We start from the raw sequence: 18,562 nt of genomic DNA, 5'->3' as shown, positions 1-18,562 counted from the left end.
TACTCCAATAGAGTGGCTTAAAATAGCAACAATAATTTTATTATAATCTCTCACAGTTGTGGAGTTGGAGTTGAGATGGAGTAGCTCAGCTACCAGATGGTTCTAGCTTGAAGGTGCAACCTAATCATGGAAGTGATAGCCCATTATATTCCTAGGTCCCACCACCCACAGAATATCTGCCTCAGGGGGCTGGGATCTCGAGGTCCCTCTTGGAGTTCTGCCTACCCCAAATTAATACAGTGGTTCTCAATCAGGCACAATTTTGCAACCTCCCTTTTTGGGGGAACATTTGACAGTATTTGGAGACATTTTTGGTTGTCATGAGTGAGGGTGGTTAAATAGAGACCGGGGTGCTGCTGAATATCCCGCCATACACAGGACATCCTCCCCAAAAAAGAATTAATCTGGCCCCGAATGTCGATAATTCTGAGAATCATTGAACTGGAAGAGGAAGGAGTTTGTGGAAGGGGCTTAGGAGACTATTGGTGGATGGGTTGGTTCTGTGCATTCCGTTTCTTACCTAGCTCTATAAGCTGGGTTTGAATGCCTTTGATTAGAGGAGAGATGGTCAGAAGCTTAGAGAAAATTTCTTTAAAGAATTTTCAGACTCTGTGCAGGCTGATTTTGGCCCCAGAGGTGGAAAAAACATAATTTTCTGTCTCCTAATGGAATCCAACATCATTCTGTACCTTTTCTCCTGAACTCAGCAGGATTGCAAGCCAGGGGGGCTGCTGGAGAAGGAGTTCTTTGCATGGCCATTGAGTAGTAGCCACAGTAAAGTCTGCCTCTGTGGGTTTATGAGCAGCAGGTGTACACCAGCATGATCTGCAGAAGCAGAGCGGGAATGGGATTATTTGACTTGGTAATTGCAACAAACAGGCTGACAGGAGGCACTAGGAGAAATTAATCATTGGAGATCACTTTTTAAAAGGCTAATGTCTAGTAATCAGGCTAGAAGGGACACAAGTATCATGATTTGGTCATTAGAAGGAAATATGTTAGTTATTAGGGAAATACAAATCACTGCAACAATGAGATACCACTTCACCCCCATTAGGATGGCCGTAATAAAAAAGACAGACAATAATAAGGGTTGGGGAGGATGTGGACAAATTGGAACCCTCCCACACTGCTGGTACAAATGTAAAACAGTGCATCTGCTTTGGAACACAGTCTGACTTTTGCTCAAAAAGTTAAATATAGAGTTACCATATCACCCTGCAATTCTACCCCTAGGTATATATCTAAGAGAATTGAAAGTATGTCCACAGAAAAATCTGCACACCAGTGTTCGTAGCAGCATTATTCATAATAGCCAAAAGGTAGAAACAATCTCCATGTCCATTAACTGATGAATAGATAAATACAATGTGGTCTGTACACATGAAGGAATATTATTCAGCCATTAAAAAGGAATGAAGTTTTGATACACACCACAGCATGGAGGAACTTTGAATACGATGTGCTAAGTGAAGGAAGCCAGACACAAAAAGACATATGTTATATGATTGCATTTATAAGAAATGTCCAGAAGAATTAAATCCATAGAAATAGAAGGCAGATTAGGGCTTGGCACCATGGCTCACGCCTGTAATCCCAGCACTTTGGGAGGCCAAGGCAGGAAAATTGCTTGAACCCAGGATTTCTAGACCAGCCCTGGCAACATAGAGAGACCCTGTATCTACCAAAAAAAAATGCAAAAATTAGCTGGGCATGGTGGCACGCACCTGTAGTCCCGGCTACTCTTGAGAGAATCACCTGAGCCCAGGAGGTTGAGGCTGTGGTGAATGGTGATAGTGACACTACACTCCAGCCTGGGTGACAGAGTAAGACTCCGTTTCAAAAAAAAGGAAAGCAGGTTAGTGTTGAAAAAAGGGGCAATGGGAGAGTGATGATGATGGGTACCAGGCTTCTTATTAGGATAATGAAAATGTTCTGGAATTGGATAGTGATGATGCCTGCCTCACTTTGTGACTATACTGAAAACGATTGAATTGCTGGGCTCAGTGGCTCATGCCTGTAATCCCAGCACTTTGGGAGGTCGAGGTGGGCAGATTGCTTGAGCTTAGGAGTTTGAGACCAGCCTGGGAAACATAACAATACCCTGTCTCTACAAAAAATGCAAAAATTAGCCTGGCGTGGTGATACACGCCTGCAGTCCCAGCTACTTGGGAGGCTGAGGCAGGAGGATCGCTTGAACCCGGGAGGCAGAAGTTGCAGTGAACCAAGATCGCACCACTGCACTCCAGCCTGGATGACACAGTGAGACCCTGTCTTAAAAAGCAGCAACAACAGCAACAACATCATAAAAAACCATTGAATTGTACATTTTGAAAGGGCAAATTGTATGGCACATGATTGATATCTTAAGAAAAAATAATGAAAAAAGAAAATGTGATCTTATTTTGTGGTCCATGTAGCTGAGGTCTGAGACAGTTACATATGGAAAGTCGTAATTTCTAAGAGACTTCTTGACTCGTCTGTGAGAGCCTGTTCAGAGGCGGAGACACACCCAGCACTGTCCTGGCTCCACTATTCTTTCCTTATAAATGTCCTTCCTCTGGATTAATTGTTTCCTGTGCAAATACTTTTATTCCATCAAGGCACAATAAAATTCCCTACAGGTGGTGTTTTATATTCCCTTCATTTTCTTCTGAACTTTGTATATATATGTTTATGTCAAATATATATTTATAGATAAATTGTATGTATTATATAATTTATAACTATAAATATATAAATTATATGTTTATATATGTATAAATACATACTTTTTTTTTTTTAAGATGGAGTTTTGCTGTTGTTGCCCAGGCTGTAGTGCAATGGCGAGATCTCGGCTCACTGCAACCTCCACCTGCCGGGTTCAAGCGATTCTCCTGCTTCAACCTCCGGAGTAGCTGGAATTACAGGCGCGTGCCACCACACCCAGCTGATTTTTGTATTTTTAGTGGAGATGGGGTTTTGCCATGTTGGCCAGGCTGGTCTCAAACTCCTGACCTCAAGTGATCCGCCTGCCTCAGCCTCCCAAAGTGCTGGGATTACAGGCGTGAGCTACTGTGCCCGGCCACATATTTTAATATACATATTTATATGAGTGTGTGCATTTACTTATGGCATTTGTTGTGTACTATTATGAATTATAAACAGATTACCTTATTGGACTCTGTGTTCCTCAAGGGCAGAGTAACCACTAAAATTCTTTCTGTTGAAAGTGATATAAAGCTGGTGGGGTGTGCTGGCTCACGCCTGTAATCCCAGCATTTTGGGAGGTCGAGGCAGGTAGATCACTTGAGGTCAGGAGTTCGAGACCAGACTGGCCAACATGGTGAAACATCATCTTTACTAAAAATACAAAAATTAGCTGGGCATGGTGGTGCGCGCCTGTAATCCCAGCTACTCAGGAGGCTGAGGCAGGAGAATTGCTTGAACCCAGGAGGTGGAGGTTGCAGTGAGCCGGGATCACACCGCTGCACTCCAGCCTGGGCGACAGTGAGACTCACTTTTGTTAGGGGAAAAAAATGTCTAATGTCTGGGCTACTTTGAGGTATGCTTCATCTAGGGCTCAATTCTGTCTGTGCATCTTTTGGCTCCATTTCTCAGTCTTTGCTGCAGATTTATTCTCTGTCTTTTCAGATTTAACTCCAGTGGCAGGTAAATGCAGGACCCTCTTTCTGGGTTCATCTAGCTCAGCTCCAAGACTTATTAATAGCTCTGACTGACCCTTCCCTGAAGCCATCTCTGTGGGTGGGAAGATGGGATGCACTGAATGGCTGGTCACGTCTCCATCTCTGGTGCTGAGGGGACTCGGCCTGATCAGAGGCCTTGGCTCAGGAATAGGAATAGAAAAGTGAGTGGTTTTAGGAGGAAACTGGGATGGTGTTGCCAAAGAATGGGAGATGAACATTGAATGGCAAAAATTAACTAGTGCCCACTGTGGTTCATTTTTGAACCCGCAGCACTTAGAATGGAACAGGCATTTAGCAAACACCTATTGAATTAAATTGAATCCTGAAATACACATATCGGCTTCCAAATGACAGTCTATAGGAAGGAATGAAAAACTTTGAAAGTTGGGCCAAACAGAGAAGATGTATGATATTAAACTCCCAAAGTACTTCTGTATCTAAAAAGCACATGCTCCGATGCTCATTTTGGACATTTCTTTTACACCAGTGAAGATGTTCCAAACAGTTTGAGAGTCCAAATTAGGGGTCTCAACCTTTTTGTTTAGTGACATAGCTATGGTTGCTCTTTTAAAATTCAGTGAAAGCTGGTGGGTCCTGGTGGTCCATGTTTGTAGTCTCAGAAGTTTGGGAGGACGAGGCAGGAGGATCACTTGAGGCCCAGAGTTTGAGAGCAGCCTGGCTAACATGATGAAAACCCGTCTCTACTAAAAATACAAAAATTAGCTGGGTATGGTGTCACACGCCTGTAATCTCAGCAACTCGGGGGCTGAGGCATAAGAATGGCTTGAACCTGGGAGGCAGAGGTTGCAGTGAGCCAAGATTGTGCCACTGCACTCCAGCCTGGGCTACGGAGAGAGACTGTCTCAAAAAAAAATAAAAAATTCAATGAAAGCCACAGACCCTTTCCATAAAATGTTTTACATTATAGACTGATTTACATGGAATTTTGGGAGTCCCTGGAACCCTTGGAGTGCCAAGTTGGGCAGCTTTATTGTGAATAATTACATCCAGTGTTGGATTTTGTGTATTTTATAATTTCCCATTGTTTTCAGAATCTTTCCTCTTGGAATTACCCTGACTCAAGACTAGAGGGCATTGTGTACCTTGAAACCACATCAGACACACTGCAAGAGCTCCTTAGATTTTCATACAAAAAGGCTTGTTCACTGCTCAGTTAACAAGTGAGTCCATCTGCTCCCAGGAGGGAATGAAGTCAGCTCCCTGTGAAGAAAGGGATGGGGATGAGGGGAGAAGCACTGCCTAAATGTTTCCCTCATTTGTATGTTGATGAAATGTTGGCAGTCTCCCTAGAGCTCAAGTGCCTGGTTTGGATTGATTTCCCAGCAAGGATCCCGGTGTGTTAGGATGTGCTGCATACTGGGAGCAGATGAGATTCAGAGTCCCAGCCCTGCCTCTGGCTTCCTGTGGGGTTTCAGGAGGGTTCCTTTCCTTAGCTGTGCCTCAGTGCTCTTATCTGCAAAATGAGGGGATGAGATTAGCTGCTCCCAAGCTCATCACAGTATACGATGCTTCTCAGGTTCAAATGTTTCAGGAGTGGTGCAGACGTGAAGAGGAAAAAAAAATGCAGCCAAGGAGGAGTGTGGTTACTCTCAGAAATGAACATATCAGGTGATCCCGTGAGGATTTGGGCAAAACAAATCCAGTGAATGAATTTGGAGAGTTGAAGGAGAAGGCCCCTCCGCAATACTAAATGGTTTGTATATGAATGCAGTCTGTTTATCCAAAAAGAAAAGTGCTGCAGTAGGCAGCCTCTATGATAGCGCTAAAAGTTCCCACTTCCTTGTGCAGTCATCTTCCCTTAAATGTGACTCAACCTAGTGAGTTACTTCTAGCCAATAGGATCAGGCAAAAGTGATAGGATATCACCTTGGAGAGAAGGTTCCAAAAAGACGGTAAATTCCATCTTGCATACTCTCTAGCCTGCTGCTGTGATTAAGCCCAGTGCCAAGTTGTAAGCTGCTAAATGGAGAAGCCCCCATGACAAGGAAGTAAGGAAGGCCTGTGATGAATGGCCAGTGAGAAACTGAGGCCCGTGGTCCAATAGCTTATATGGAGCTGAGTTCTGCCAACTACCCCATGAGTGAGCCTAGAAACGGATTTTCGTGCAGTCAAGCCTTCAGATCATACTGCAGTCCTCTTGGACTGCTTGATTATATAGACTCTGAGGGACCTAGAGGCAGAGGCACCCAGCTCAGCCATGCCTGGATTCCTGACCCACAGAAATTATGAGATAACAAATGTTTGTTGTCTGAAGCTGCTAAATTTTGGGGTAATTTGCCATATAGCAATTGATAACCAGTGCATCTATTAAGGCAGTAGTTTTCAAATAATTTTCCTTCCTAGCAGAATGACTTTGGGTAAGTATTTTACTTTCTCTAAGCCTTGGTTTTGTCATCTGTCAATGGTCCCTACATCATAAGATTGTTGTCATATCTAAATGAGATCATGCATGAAAAGTGTTGACATATGTTTGAGATATGAACATTAAATTGTCATCATCATCATCATTATGGTGTTCATCAAAGGAATCCAGTAATAGAGGGGTGGAAACCAGTAGCTGTGGGAATTGAACAATGAGAACACATGGACACAGGAAGGGGAACATCACACTCTGGGGACTGTTGTGGGGTGGGGGGAGGGGGGAGGGATAGCATTAGGAGATATACCTAACATTGTGCACATGTACCCTAAAACTTAAAGTATAATAATAATAAAAAAATTCCATCCAGAGATCTTTCCTATCTTTCTTCCTCCACTAACAGTCACTACGATCGTGTGCAAATAACTGGCCAATCAGACAGCCCCGTCCTTTAGCAACAATGATGGGTCCAAGGGGTGAATGTTAACCCCAGAAGACCAATTAGAGTCTTTTTCAGAGATTTACATAGTCTCTCGGAGGGGAGAAGGCTTCTGGAGTGGGGCAGAATTTCTAGTGGTCCTGAAGCCATAGAGAGAAATCTTCGAATCTTACCCTCAGAATGGTAATTTCCAGAAAAGCTCTTTGATACTTATTTTACTTTTCATGGAACTAAATTCTAGTGATTATTGAGGTCTTTGCAAAGAAACAAACACAACAGAAATCCCTCCTCCAAAATCTATCTGCAAATGATTGCTCATGGTTTAATTGGCCCTTTAGGTAAAACCTCTCATCGTTGCAACAAAAATTGGTCCTTTTTACTCCAGAGAGTGCTCAGGGCTGATTACCTTTGAAGAATGAGACTTGAAGGTGGATCACATAGTGAGTTCTTTTATCCTTCCCTGTCCTGGAAGCAAAAATGTCACCATGGATAGGTGGGGAGGAAAGCACTCCCATCTCCCAGATTTCCTGGGAGTCTCCTAGAAACCCTTAGTGATTCTCCCGACTTTTGGGTAGTGATGTTTTCCTCCTGGGTAGTCAGGAGGGGTAATGGCAGATTGCCAGAAAGACACGACTTACAAAATAATCCAACTCCAAATTTCCTCTTTGGAATTTAGAGAAGGTTTATTTATGAACAGATTTTTTTTTTTTTAAATTGAGGAAACTAGGAGTTTAATTTTGGACATGTTGAACTTGAGATACCTAAAATACGTGCAAGTTGCAGTATCAAGTAGCAATTGGCTGGGTGAGTCTGTAACTCAAGGGAGAGTGTGGCTGGGTGTACACATTTGGGAGTTATAGTACTTGGAAGCCATAGGAAGCCACAGAACTGGATGAGAATAAAAAGGGAAGGGAAGTTTGCCACCCACCCCCACCTTGGTGTAGGCACCTCTTTCTTCTGGCAGGTGAGCTGAACAGAATCCCAGGATGCCCTGTGGAGACTGACGAGCTTTTATTCTTGGGTTACCTGGGAGATTGTTCCAGTCTCCCGACCTCTGTTGTGCTCCTGACTCTTGCAAGCGAGTGTGTCTCAGAGTGAGGAGCTGTGGAAGAAAGAGATGAGGCACATTGAAAATAAAAGATGTTGCCTAAAAGTGCCTATTATGTCCTGAGATCTGTCTTCATGATGCTAGTCCGCTCAGACAAGAAAATCATCCTGGGATAGAAGACTAAGTCCCCAGATCCAATTTTGCCACTTGGTTACTGGGTGAGCTTGGGGAAAATTTCTTAAGCTCGTTGACCCCGTTTGCATGTCTGTAAAGTGGGGATAGTAGCATTATCTCTCTCTTAAGGTTATGTTGAGCTCTAGGGAAGGCAGTGCACGCAAAGTGTTAGCGCAGCTCCGAGGGCATACAAAAGGGCTTTGTAACTGGCTGTTACTATTACTTATTACCTTGTGCCAGGTAGGTTTGATGCTTTGCTTATACCAGAGTGTTATGTTTACTTACATCATGGCCATCTGGTCCACTGCTGCTATTTGACAGATGAGAAAATGATCTTGCTTAAGGTCATACAACTCTTGATATTTGGCCACAAAAATTAATGGATGCCAAACTCAGGTAGGCCCTTGGGGCCACCTATAAATTCTTTTTTATTTGTGGTAATATAGTTTATCTCATTTATTCTTCACAGCACACCTAAGTGGTAGGTGTCACTATTCCCTCCAAGGTACAGATAAGGAAAGGAATGTATTAAAAGACCACGTGGCCTCACCTTCATCTCCATCGTTCTCCATCTTTATGACAACCCTGCTGAAGCGATATTTTCATTTCGCAGTCAGGAAATCTGAGGCTTGGAGAGAGTAAGCAAATTGCCCCAGGTTTCAAGGCGAATACAAGGCAGAGATCAGATGCAAAGCATAGACCTATCTGATTCGGGAACCCATAGTCTTTCCCTTAAACAAGGTAGCGGAATGATTCAGAATTCCAGTTCTGGGAACAGGCACGCTATGCTTATCTATTAAAAATGACAACCCCTTAAAATTGTAGCACCCCTCTTCTATTCTCTATGGGCCTTCTCTGCTTTATTTTTAAATTTTTATTTATTTATTTATTTTGAGACAGACTCTGACTCTCGCCCAGGCTGGAGTGCAGCACAGTGTTAGTTCACTGCAATCTCCGCCTCTTGGGTTCAGGCGGGTTCTCTGGTGCCTCAGCCTCCAGAGTAGCTGGGATTACAGGCATGTGCCACCATGTTCAGCTAATTATTTTGTATTTTTAGTAGAGATGGGGTTTCGCCATGTTGGCCTGGCTGGTCTCAATCTCCTGGGCCCAAGCGATCCGCCCACCTCTGGCTCCCAAAGTTCTGGGATTATAAACGGGAGCCACCGCACCCCACCTCTGCTTTATTTTTCTCCCAAAATACTTATCGCTTTCTTCCAGGTTGCATATTGTATTTATTTATTTTGTTATTGCATTCATCCCCTTCACAAGAATGTCAGCTCTGTGAATGTAGGGAATTTTTTTTCTATTTTATCCACCACTATATCCCTTACTCCTGGAATATATCAATATAAGCCTGGCCCAAGGTAGGCATGTCGATAATAATTCAGTTTCCTCAAAAGCAAAATGGGGAAAATGGTAACACCCACTTCATAGGGTAGGTTCAAGGAATATAAGGGTTAAAGCATTTGAAGTTCTTGAAACAGGGTCAGGAACACACTGGGCTCTGAATAATCGTTAACTACTAACATGTAATCCATTGCACGCCAGTGCTTTATTGATGTCAGCTATCCCCTGATGACTGCCAACTGTGCCAATATTTGTTTTACATATATCCTCTAATTGATGCCTTTAAACAATGATTGCCCTCACTTTACAGTTGGGGAAATGGAGGGGTTAAAAGGCAGTGCCTTTTTCCATCATGTCATTACATTAGTCAGCATCTAGGGAAGACATCTTCATGGTGCCCAAGAAAGTCATCCTCTCCAGCTGTCCTGCTGTGCAAGCTAGCCCCAACTGTGTGCTGGGACTTCACCTTTCCACTCATGAAACTCCAAAGCCTTACAGAATCAGTGCTGGTTTGCAAAATACCCCGTGAACATCCTCCCTTAATTAATGCTAGTCTTCATGTAAAGCCACATTGGTAGGACTATTGTATCTTAAGACCCCAGGCAATGCAATGTCCAGGACAATCTATATCCGAAGTGTTTAAAACAGTTTACCTTCCTCCAGCCTTACAAAAATTTAATTTATACTAAATGCTGTTGCAGAATCAGGTTTATCACCCAGGGAGTTAAGAAAAATGAAGGACCAATTTAACGACAGGATTTAGTTCATTATTTATCTAACATGTAAATTATAGATTACTATAAATTTTTTATTCTTTGGGTGCCCACCACCTAATTCCAGAAAAAAAAGAGAAGCCTGTATTACAAAGAGCAAGTGTCTCCTCTCTGGGCACAAGAGCCATCTCTTCTGCCTTCTGACGGACGATAATCTGTCAAAATGAAAAATTAATGGCTGCTCCCTTAATTCATCATTGCCTGCTTCTGTTCTATTAATGCCTTTCCCCCCTTCTTCCTTCCCTCCTTCCTCCCTCTGCCTCCCCCCTCCCTTCCTCCTCCACCCACCCCAATGGTGTGACAGTGTTCACCAGCAGTGAATTGGAGGCAGAGAACGGGAGTGGTGGTGGTGAATAGGAAAAAGAAAAAGAAAATCAAATCCATTGACCTCTGGATCCATGTAGCATCTGTTAAGATGGGAAAGAATGGGCTCTGCTTTACTCATCAAATGCATCAGGGCCCCATGGCGTCAATGCTGATGTAGAGTGTGTATATCACAGCAGGCATCTCGGACATTCTATTCCCTTGTAAGACCTGTGGTCGGCATAGGGGTGTTAAACGGCATGGTGTTTCAGTATCATCAGATTCACTGTCCAAATGGTGAATCTTGGAATTTGGTAGTGAAACTTACAAGCCATCTGATCCAACTCCTCTGTTTTACAGATCAGAAGACAGAGCCTCAGAGAGGAGATGGGTTTTGCTAAAAGTCCTGCAACTAGTGAAACTAGCAGCACTATAAATTGTGGATGCCAAACTCAGCTTATCAAGGCCACCCATCAGTCCTTTCATTTGTTTGAAATCAACTCCATTTTTCAATTCCCTTAAAGACTCTTCCACACTTCCACTCAATTTCCCTGACTGTAGACACCATATCTCTCACTTCCTTGCAATAACCATCTATGCCATTTATGAAATATTTCTGGCTCTGTACCTTCTGGTCAAATGTTAATCTTGAGGTTAGGCTTGGCCACGTGGCTTGCTTTGGCCAATGAAATATGGGCAGGAGCTTTAAAGACAGATATGCAATTTACTGAATTCCCTTCCCACTGCAGTGGCAATTAACTATGGTGGAGTGCATCGCCAGCAGTCCAGGTCCTTGAGTGACTGCAATGAGGAGGACACCCTGTGGACCCAAGTTACCACACAGTGTGTTAAGCCTCTGAGATACTGGGGGCATTTTTTTTCTCCTGCAGCAAAACTTAGCCTATTCTGCCCGTAAATTCATTAGAAAAAAATGGAGGTCATGAGACTCTTCCTTTCCCAGCTTCCAGCAGATGTATTTACAGCTGGCCCATCATCATCTCATTTCCTTCAGGCTGAGTAAATGAGATATCTCTTCTCTTCCACAGGACACATGATTTTCTCCCAGAGTTTCCATTTCCCCCTTCCTTTTGTGTCTGCCTTGTCAAGGTATCAATATGCTCAAGTCTCTCTCGCCTCTAAATATCCTTCTATTGGCTCCCCCTCTGAATCTTTCACCCATTCTCCTTCCCATTTCTCATCTCGTATTTTCGGAAAGAGTTGTCTACTGTTATTTTCTCCCATTTCTCACTTCCATTGCCCCCAGTTTATTATGATTAGGCTTCTCCTCCCAATACTCCAGTGAAGCTCTCTGTGATACTCAGTTCACCTGCTTGGTTAGGTCCAGTCTACCATGCTGGGCCTTGCTGATATGTCTGCTCCTGTGGATTTTGGCTCTTTCTTGAAATACCATGACTCCTGGCTTGCATTACACCAGACTCCCCTGGATATTTGCATGCCTCTCTGGCCAGTTCCTTTCTGGCTCTTCCTTGAATATGTTTCTCCTACAGCTTCTACATGTGTTATTATCAGTGTTACTCAGCACTCTAGCAGCCTCATGTACTCCACATTCATTCCATTTATAATTTACACTCTTTATAACGTTTAGATCATTTCTTCAGCCTAGATGCCTTCCTAAAGACTTAGGAATAACATAGCCAACTGTGTACTCCTCATCTCCAGAGAATGTCTGTGTATTTGTCAACACCATCACCTTCTTCCAAAACAGTTTTTACTTTTTTTTTTTCTTATAGTTGGTGACATCATCTTTCTAAGCATCCAAGCCAACCCCTCCCTTTTTTCAGAATCTCAATACCTAAATCAGGTTATTTCTCTTATATTCCCTCCTCCGCAAGCGGATGAATGAGAGAAGGAGTCAAGGGTAAACTACAGTTGTCCAGTAGATCAAGCTGCTTTTATTTCCTTTGTGAAAGATAAGAGAAGAATTACTGGGCAAGAGAAGAGAACCTACCTTGAGAAAGGAGGGGTCGTGTGTGTTGAGCTGTTGCTCTCTGAGGCCTCAAACCTCTCTGGGTGATTTTGGGAAAATCCTTTCAACCATACAGGCCTCTGTCCAATTGATAAGTTGAATGAGTTGGATCCAGGGATCTCTTAGGTTTTTCTCTTTCTCTGTTCTTACCATAGACTGGAGCGGATATTCAGATAGTGCTAAAATGGACCCTGAATCCTGCAACCTCTTCCAAGTTAACATGCAGATACAACTTCTGGGGTCAGGATGGAAGTTATAAGGTGGCACTTTAATGGGATTGGAGTAAATAATGGGAGATAGTAAGCTTAAGATCCATGGAGCATAACTTAGCTGCCTTCCCTAAAAGATAAGAGGGGGGCAGAGAGAATATGCTAGGACAGATAAATGAGGGATTAGTCAGTTTCAACAACCTAGTGGCTATGGAATAACTACAAAGAAATCACAGCTAGGATTGAAATTGTCCACAAAATCTTTAGCATCCTCTGAGCAGCCATCTCTTCCTCACCTTAAGAAGCCGACTACACTGGCTGGTTGCAAATATTGACAAATTTCAGGATCACCTTGGAAGGTGGTTTTTTAGGTTCTTTGATTTAAACTCTTCAATCATGCTCCATCAACCCACCAGTCCCAAGTCAGGCTGGTATTTGAGGCTCCTCATGACCTGGTTTCTGGTCTTGGCTTCAACACCTCTACTCTCCCTTGTTGTATCTTGTGTGACAGTCTCCCTGTGGAGGTCACGATGAAGGTGAAAGCGATATGACCAGATGAAGGGACTGAGAAGCGCCAAGGAAGATGTCAGGGTAAGACTCGTTCTGGGTTCGATGTAAATATAGCCACAGAGATTTCCACCTCTAAGCTCTGGCCCTCCTTTCTCTACGATATTCCTATCTCCTTTCCTGCCTTCTGTCTTAGGTCAAAGAACCACAGGCAGCCACCTGAAAGACTGTGCACCATAATATTCAAGAACATGAACTTTGGAAATCTATGTGGTCTGGATTTAGATCCTGGCTCCGCCACATACTAGCTGTGTGACTTTGGGAAAGTTAGGCTACCTGTCTGGGCCTTAATGTTGTCATCACAGCTCTTTAGCTCAACATCAGTTCTAGTCCCCATCATCTGCAATAGCAATCATTCTCCAGGAAAAGTTTTCACCTCTTCATTTAAGGCTGCTCCAACTCTCAAGCAGTCTGGGTACCCTTTTCCCCAACTCCCACCCCAGTTGTATCTGTTACCTGTGACCTTCCCTTCTGAATATTGCCTCAATAGCATGAACCCTTTTATACTTTGAAAGACAGCATGGAAATATGGAAGCAGAGAGAGTGCATAGAATGTGGAATGTGAGTCCGGGCTCTGCTACCAGCTGTATGACCTTGGGCAGTTTATGTAACGTGGTTGAACTTGTTCCCTATTTTCAATAAAAAATCAATAATTCCCTTTTCTCAGGATGTTTCTAAGTATTAAGTGGGATGAGATGCGTATGCTTTGGGCTTCACTCATCTGTGAGTACAAATAAAACTATATTACAGTAATAACCTGAGTTCTTGACAGTAGGGAGAGCTCCTTACCCCACTGTTTTCAAGAATCCTTATGGTGCCCATGAATGTCCAAAAATCAGACTTGTTTCTTCTCTATGCAAGCCTAGGTAAAGTGTGGCAGCATGACCTATGTTCTCAGTTATAACTTCTACTGCCTAGGTTTCAGAGAGTTGAAACTCTGTCCCTCTTCAAAACTGCAGAAACTGGAGAAGCCTTTTTTTCTTTTTCCTTTTTTTTTTTTTTTTTTGAGACAGGGTCTTGCTCTTTTGCCCAGGCTGGAATTCAGTGGAGTGATCATAGCTCACTGCAGCCTCAATCTCCTGGGCTCAAGCAATCCTCCCACCTCAGCCTCCAGAGGGGCAGGGAACATAGGTGCTTGCCACCATGTCCGGCTAATTAAATTAAATTACATTTATTTGTTTGTAGAGATGGAGTTTTTCTATGTTGCCCAGGCTGGTATTGAACTCCCTCCCTCAAGTGATTCTCCCACCTCAGCCTCCCAAAGTGCTGGGACTACAGACATGAGCCACCACACCTGGCCAGGAAATGCTTTTTTTGAATTCTGGTACTAAAGATTTAAGTCGTAATGCTTGAAAACTGAGAAGATAATGCTGCTTCTGTGCTATGTCCAGTGAGGGAGCCCCACAGTTTGATTCGTTGAGGTTTTATAATAAAAGTCTCACACTCTTTTCTGTTTCTTGATGGGTTACAAATCCCTTGCTTTGGGCCTGCCAATCCCATGGGGGTGACACAGTGAGGCTGGGGTTCTGTTCCCTTACCATCACCGGTGTTTCAGTGCAGGGGCAAGAGAATGCAGATACATCCAATGTCAGTAGGCAGGAAATACCAGCATCTGAGACTGAGGTGATATCTCACGTGAAACATGACAAATACACCTTTTGTGTTACGCTTGGTTGGGGCGTCATATTATTAAGCTGCCTGAGACTCAAGATATTACAGTCTTTAGTTATGCCCATTTTTTAAGTCACTTCTTGAAGTGCATGGAAAGTACACAGCCTCTTCCCTCCTGTCTTAGAATCCTCCTTCCCTTAGATGCTCATGTCTTGCCCCCGCGTCTAACTTGCAATGACAGGCTCTGCTTTCTCTTTCACTTTGCTCCCTAAGGAGCCCCTTGTTCCTTCCACTAAGACAACTTCTGTTGAGACACCCTCACCCCTCAGATATGCCTGAAATATGCCCAGATCCTTATATTGGCCAGGGTTTGGGCTCTCTTCCAAGGTTGTTCCTCAGCCTCTATGGAGCTGCAAATGGATAGGACTGTTTCCCATCTCCACCCACTGGAAGTGATCTGAAGCCCAGCTTCTGCTCAGCCAAGAGCCCTGCTACAAAGTCCAGGGCTGGGCACCACCTGGGCCCTTGGAGGTTAATTTGTTTTCCACCTACCTTGTTTCTATCATGACCTTGAAGACAGGACTTCAGAGCACTGGGACTAGTCCATGCTGTATTCTTTGTCGCCTTCATCCATCTTGCCAGTGCTGTTCCCTTTTCAGTTTAATAACACAACATCAAAGAACGGATGGGGGCTTGATTTCCCAATAAATAGCCATTGCATAAGTGCCTGCTACTTTGCATTGTGGGAATATTCAGGCGGAATTAATGATACTGTTGAGTGGCTACTGTGAAGATTTACGTGTGGATCTAGGGAGGGTTGCTTTTCGTCTTTCTATTTTCCCTCCCCTTAAAGTAATAATAAAGATTACAAAAGAGAAATAATCAGGGAAAGTTAATTTGAAATGAATCTTTAATCAGGTTTCATCTGTTCGAAGCAAACGTCTCCTTTGTCTGAGCAGAGCCTCAGAGGTGGAGCCTGGAGACACCATTCTGTAGATGTATCCTCAAAGTCAAAGCCATTCTGACAGAAATCAAACGAGAAATAATTTCTCCCTGAAGGAATTCTGTTTCAGCTTAATGACGGCAGGACTGTTCCTATTGAAACAGCATAATGGGGGTTTTTAATTACGATTCATACTGTCCGGTTTAAGGGCAAGACTTTTACTTATTTATTTTTATCCCTGAGCTCAGAGGCTCATTTGTTGAGTGTGTACTGCCAAATGCTGAATTTACCCCAAGGTGAAGAAGTGAATTAACTTCTAAGAGTGGACCCATGCTCCAATTTCCCCTTTATGGGAGAGAAGAGGCAGACTGACCTGGCCAATGGGACTGAATAGAATCAAGCTGGAGTCAGACATTTATTTTCCAGGACCACCAGAGAGGCACCAATTAAAGGAGTAAGTTGAGCCAATAGAGAAGAATGCCCAAGACAAAGAATCCAAAAATATGGCCATTCACAGTGGTCCATGCCTGTAGTCCCAGCACTTTGGGGGGCCGAGGCGGATGGATCCCTTGAGCCCGGGAGTTTGAGACCAGCTTGGGCAACATGGGGAAACCCTGTCTCTACAAACAAAACAAAACAAAAATTAGCCAGATGTGGCGGCACGTGAGTGTACTCACAGCTACTTGGGAGTCTGAGGCGGAAGGATTGCTTGAGCCCAGGAAGTTGAGGCTAAAGTGAGCTGTGATTGTACCACTGCACACCAGCCTGAGCAACAGAGGGAGACCCTGTCTCAAAAACAAATCTAAAAATGAATCTACATTAGCCGTTAGGATCATAGTTTGAGTCAGGCAACTCCTTTTAAACAATTAAGAATGTGCTGGTGCTGGGCGCGGTGGCTCATGCTTGTAATCCCAGCACTTTGGGAGGCTGAGGCGGGCAGATCACAAGGTCAACAGTTCGAGATCAGCCTGGCCAGTATGGTGAAACCCTGTCTCTACTAAAAATACAAAAATTAGCCTGGCGTGGTGGCACACGCCTGTCGTACCAGCTACTCAGGAGACTGAGGCAGAAGAATCACTTGAACCAGGGAGGCAGAGGTTGCAGTGAGCCGAGATCGCGCCACTGCACTCCAGCCTGGATCACAGAGTGAGACTCTATCTAAAAAAAAAAAAAAAAAGAATGTGCTGGTGTTACGTCCTGGAAAAATCACTTGCAACCACACTGCTTGACCTGTGTTCTAGCTCTGTGGAACAACGGGATCATTTAGCCTCCTTGAATTTCAGTGTCTCCATAGAGTCAGGTGGAGACCTAAGTGAAGGGAGAAATCTACTACAGCAAAAAAAGACATGGAGACCCAACTTGGAATCAAATTTTGCTTCTTGTCAGTCCTCAGAGTTGCCTAAGCTCCCTGAGCATCCGTTGTAACATGGAGAACACATGGATGAAGAAAATATTATGGATCATGCAATGTTCTCATATTAAATGAGGATGAGCAATAAAGACAAAGAGTTTTGAATGCCAGCTGTCCAAACCTAGCTGTATTCCCCATTCACTGCTAGAGAGCTGACATTATCTTAGGGCCCTTTGGCTTCGAGTGCCTGGATGTCTGCATAATGACTTTTTCTTTGTTTCTTTGCTGTCCGATGAATTGAGTTAGAGTACCTTTGTTAGCTAATAGGCCTGTAGACCTAGGCCTGGCATCAGCACACCAGCACATTCTTAATTGCTTGAAAAGAGTTGCCTGACTCAAACCATAATCCTAATAGCTATTTTAGATTCATTTTTAGATTTGTTTTTTGAGACAGGGTCTCCCTCTGTTGCTCAGGCTGTAGTGCAGTGGTACAGTCACCAATCACTTTAGTCTAAACCTACTGGGTTCAAGCAATCCTCCTACCTCAGCCTCCCTAGTAGCTGTGAATACACACACAGTCATTTCATAGTAAGGCTACAGGTAACAAGCGTGAGAGATATTTGGCTTTTCCAATTTGGTATATAAAATGTAGAATTTAGAACAATTCTGTTGTTGCAGAATTAGGCTGGGAGTACCTTAAAAGTAATGGCAAAAACCACAATTACTTTTGCACCAACCTAATAGTTTATTTGGATGTTTAAGGAATAAGATAACACCTCTCAGGAAAGAATGAAGAGAGATTAATTACCTCTTTTCTTCACTGCTAAGGTTCTTTCCATTTCCTCACCATACAGTTCTATAGAGATGTGGGTAGTTACTAGGGAGGGTGGGAAAGGTAGTTGAATTAGCGTAGGAAGTTACTGTAATTTTAGAGTTGACAAAATCTTTGTGAAAACCTCCCTCTCTGCATTAAGCTTGGTTTAGAATGTTACCTACCTCCCGTGCATTGGTGAGCTGGTCAATAACAGGTAAATTTCACTGCAAAATCATTTCCGTCTTCATTTGCAGGACCCTAGGACCACAGCCACAGGAGGGTTAGGAACTAAAACCAGTAACCAATATTACCTCTCCCAAGGGTTTTGGTGAGGACGCAATGACATTATGTACATAAAATTGGACATAAGGTACAGTTTTTGGCACATAGTAAGTATTCAAAATGTGTTTATTTCCTCTGTCTCAAGATCTAATCTTGATTTTGAGCTGTACAATATATGCTCAATTAAATATGCATTGGAGGAAATAAAAATCTATTATAAAAATACAAGACTGTGTACCGAGTAGGCATTCAATAAAATAGTTATTGAACAATGACTTTCTATAGCTTTTGATGACTTGATTAACCTCTCTGAACTTGACGTGTAAGATCTTTTCCCTCTCACATCTTATGAATTAATAATATGTTAATTAGAGTTCGTAATTTTCTACTTTATGACTTAGGTGCATTCATCTTAAATCTTTTCTGGAATGGGGCCTGGAAAATAAAGGGGGAAAAAAAGAAGGAAAGAGCAAGTAAGTAAGTTTAATTATTTCGCATATCATACCACGATGTTCAAGAAGAAGAGATTTGACCTGATGATACTTATCATTCATTGCATAAAGTGCGAACAAAATGGTTAGAGCATTGGCACCTTCAAGCTCCATGATGATGGGTATATCATGTACTTGGAGTCCAGGCTTTGAACGT

At 43.1% G+C, this 18,562-nt stretch overlaps 1 annotated feature.

Moving 5' to 3' along the window:
• Positions 4,649-5,210: an enhancer, noted in NCBI's record as "OCT4-NANOG hESC enhancer chr16:8543873-8544434 (GRCh37/hg19 assembly coordinates)". NCBI's record gives its function as "activates a minimal SCP1, AML or CMV promoter by ChIP-STARR-seq in naive H9 embryonic stem cells {active_cell/tissue: H9 hESC(naive)}" and the evidence as "EXISTENCE:reporter gene assay evidence [ECO:0000049][PMID:30033119]".

This window comes from Homo sapiens, chromosome 16, assembly GCF_000001405.40.
Source record: "Homo sapiens chromosome 16, GRCh38.p14 Primary Assembly".
NCBI classification, from domain to species: Eukaryota; Metazoa; Chordata; class Mammalia; order Primates; family Hominidae; genus Homo; species Homo sapiens.
The sequence above is the reverse complement of the archived record's forward strand: the minus strand, read 5'-3'. Positions and strand labels throughout refer to the sequence as shown.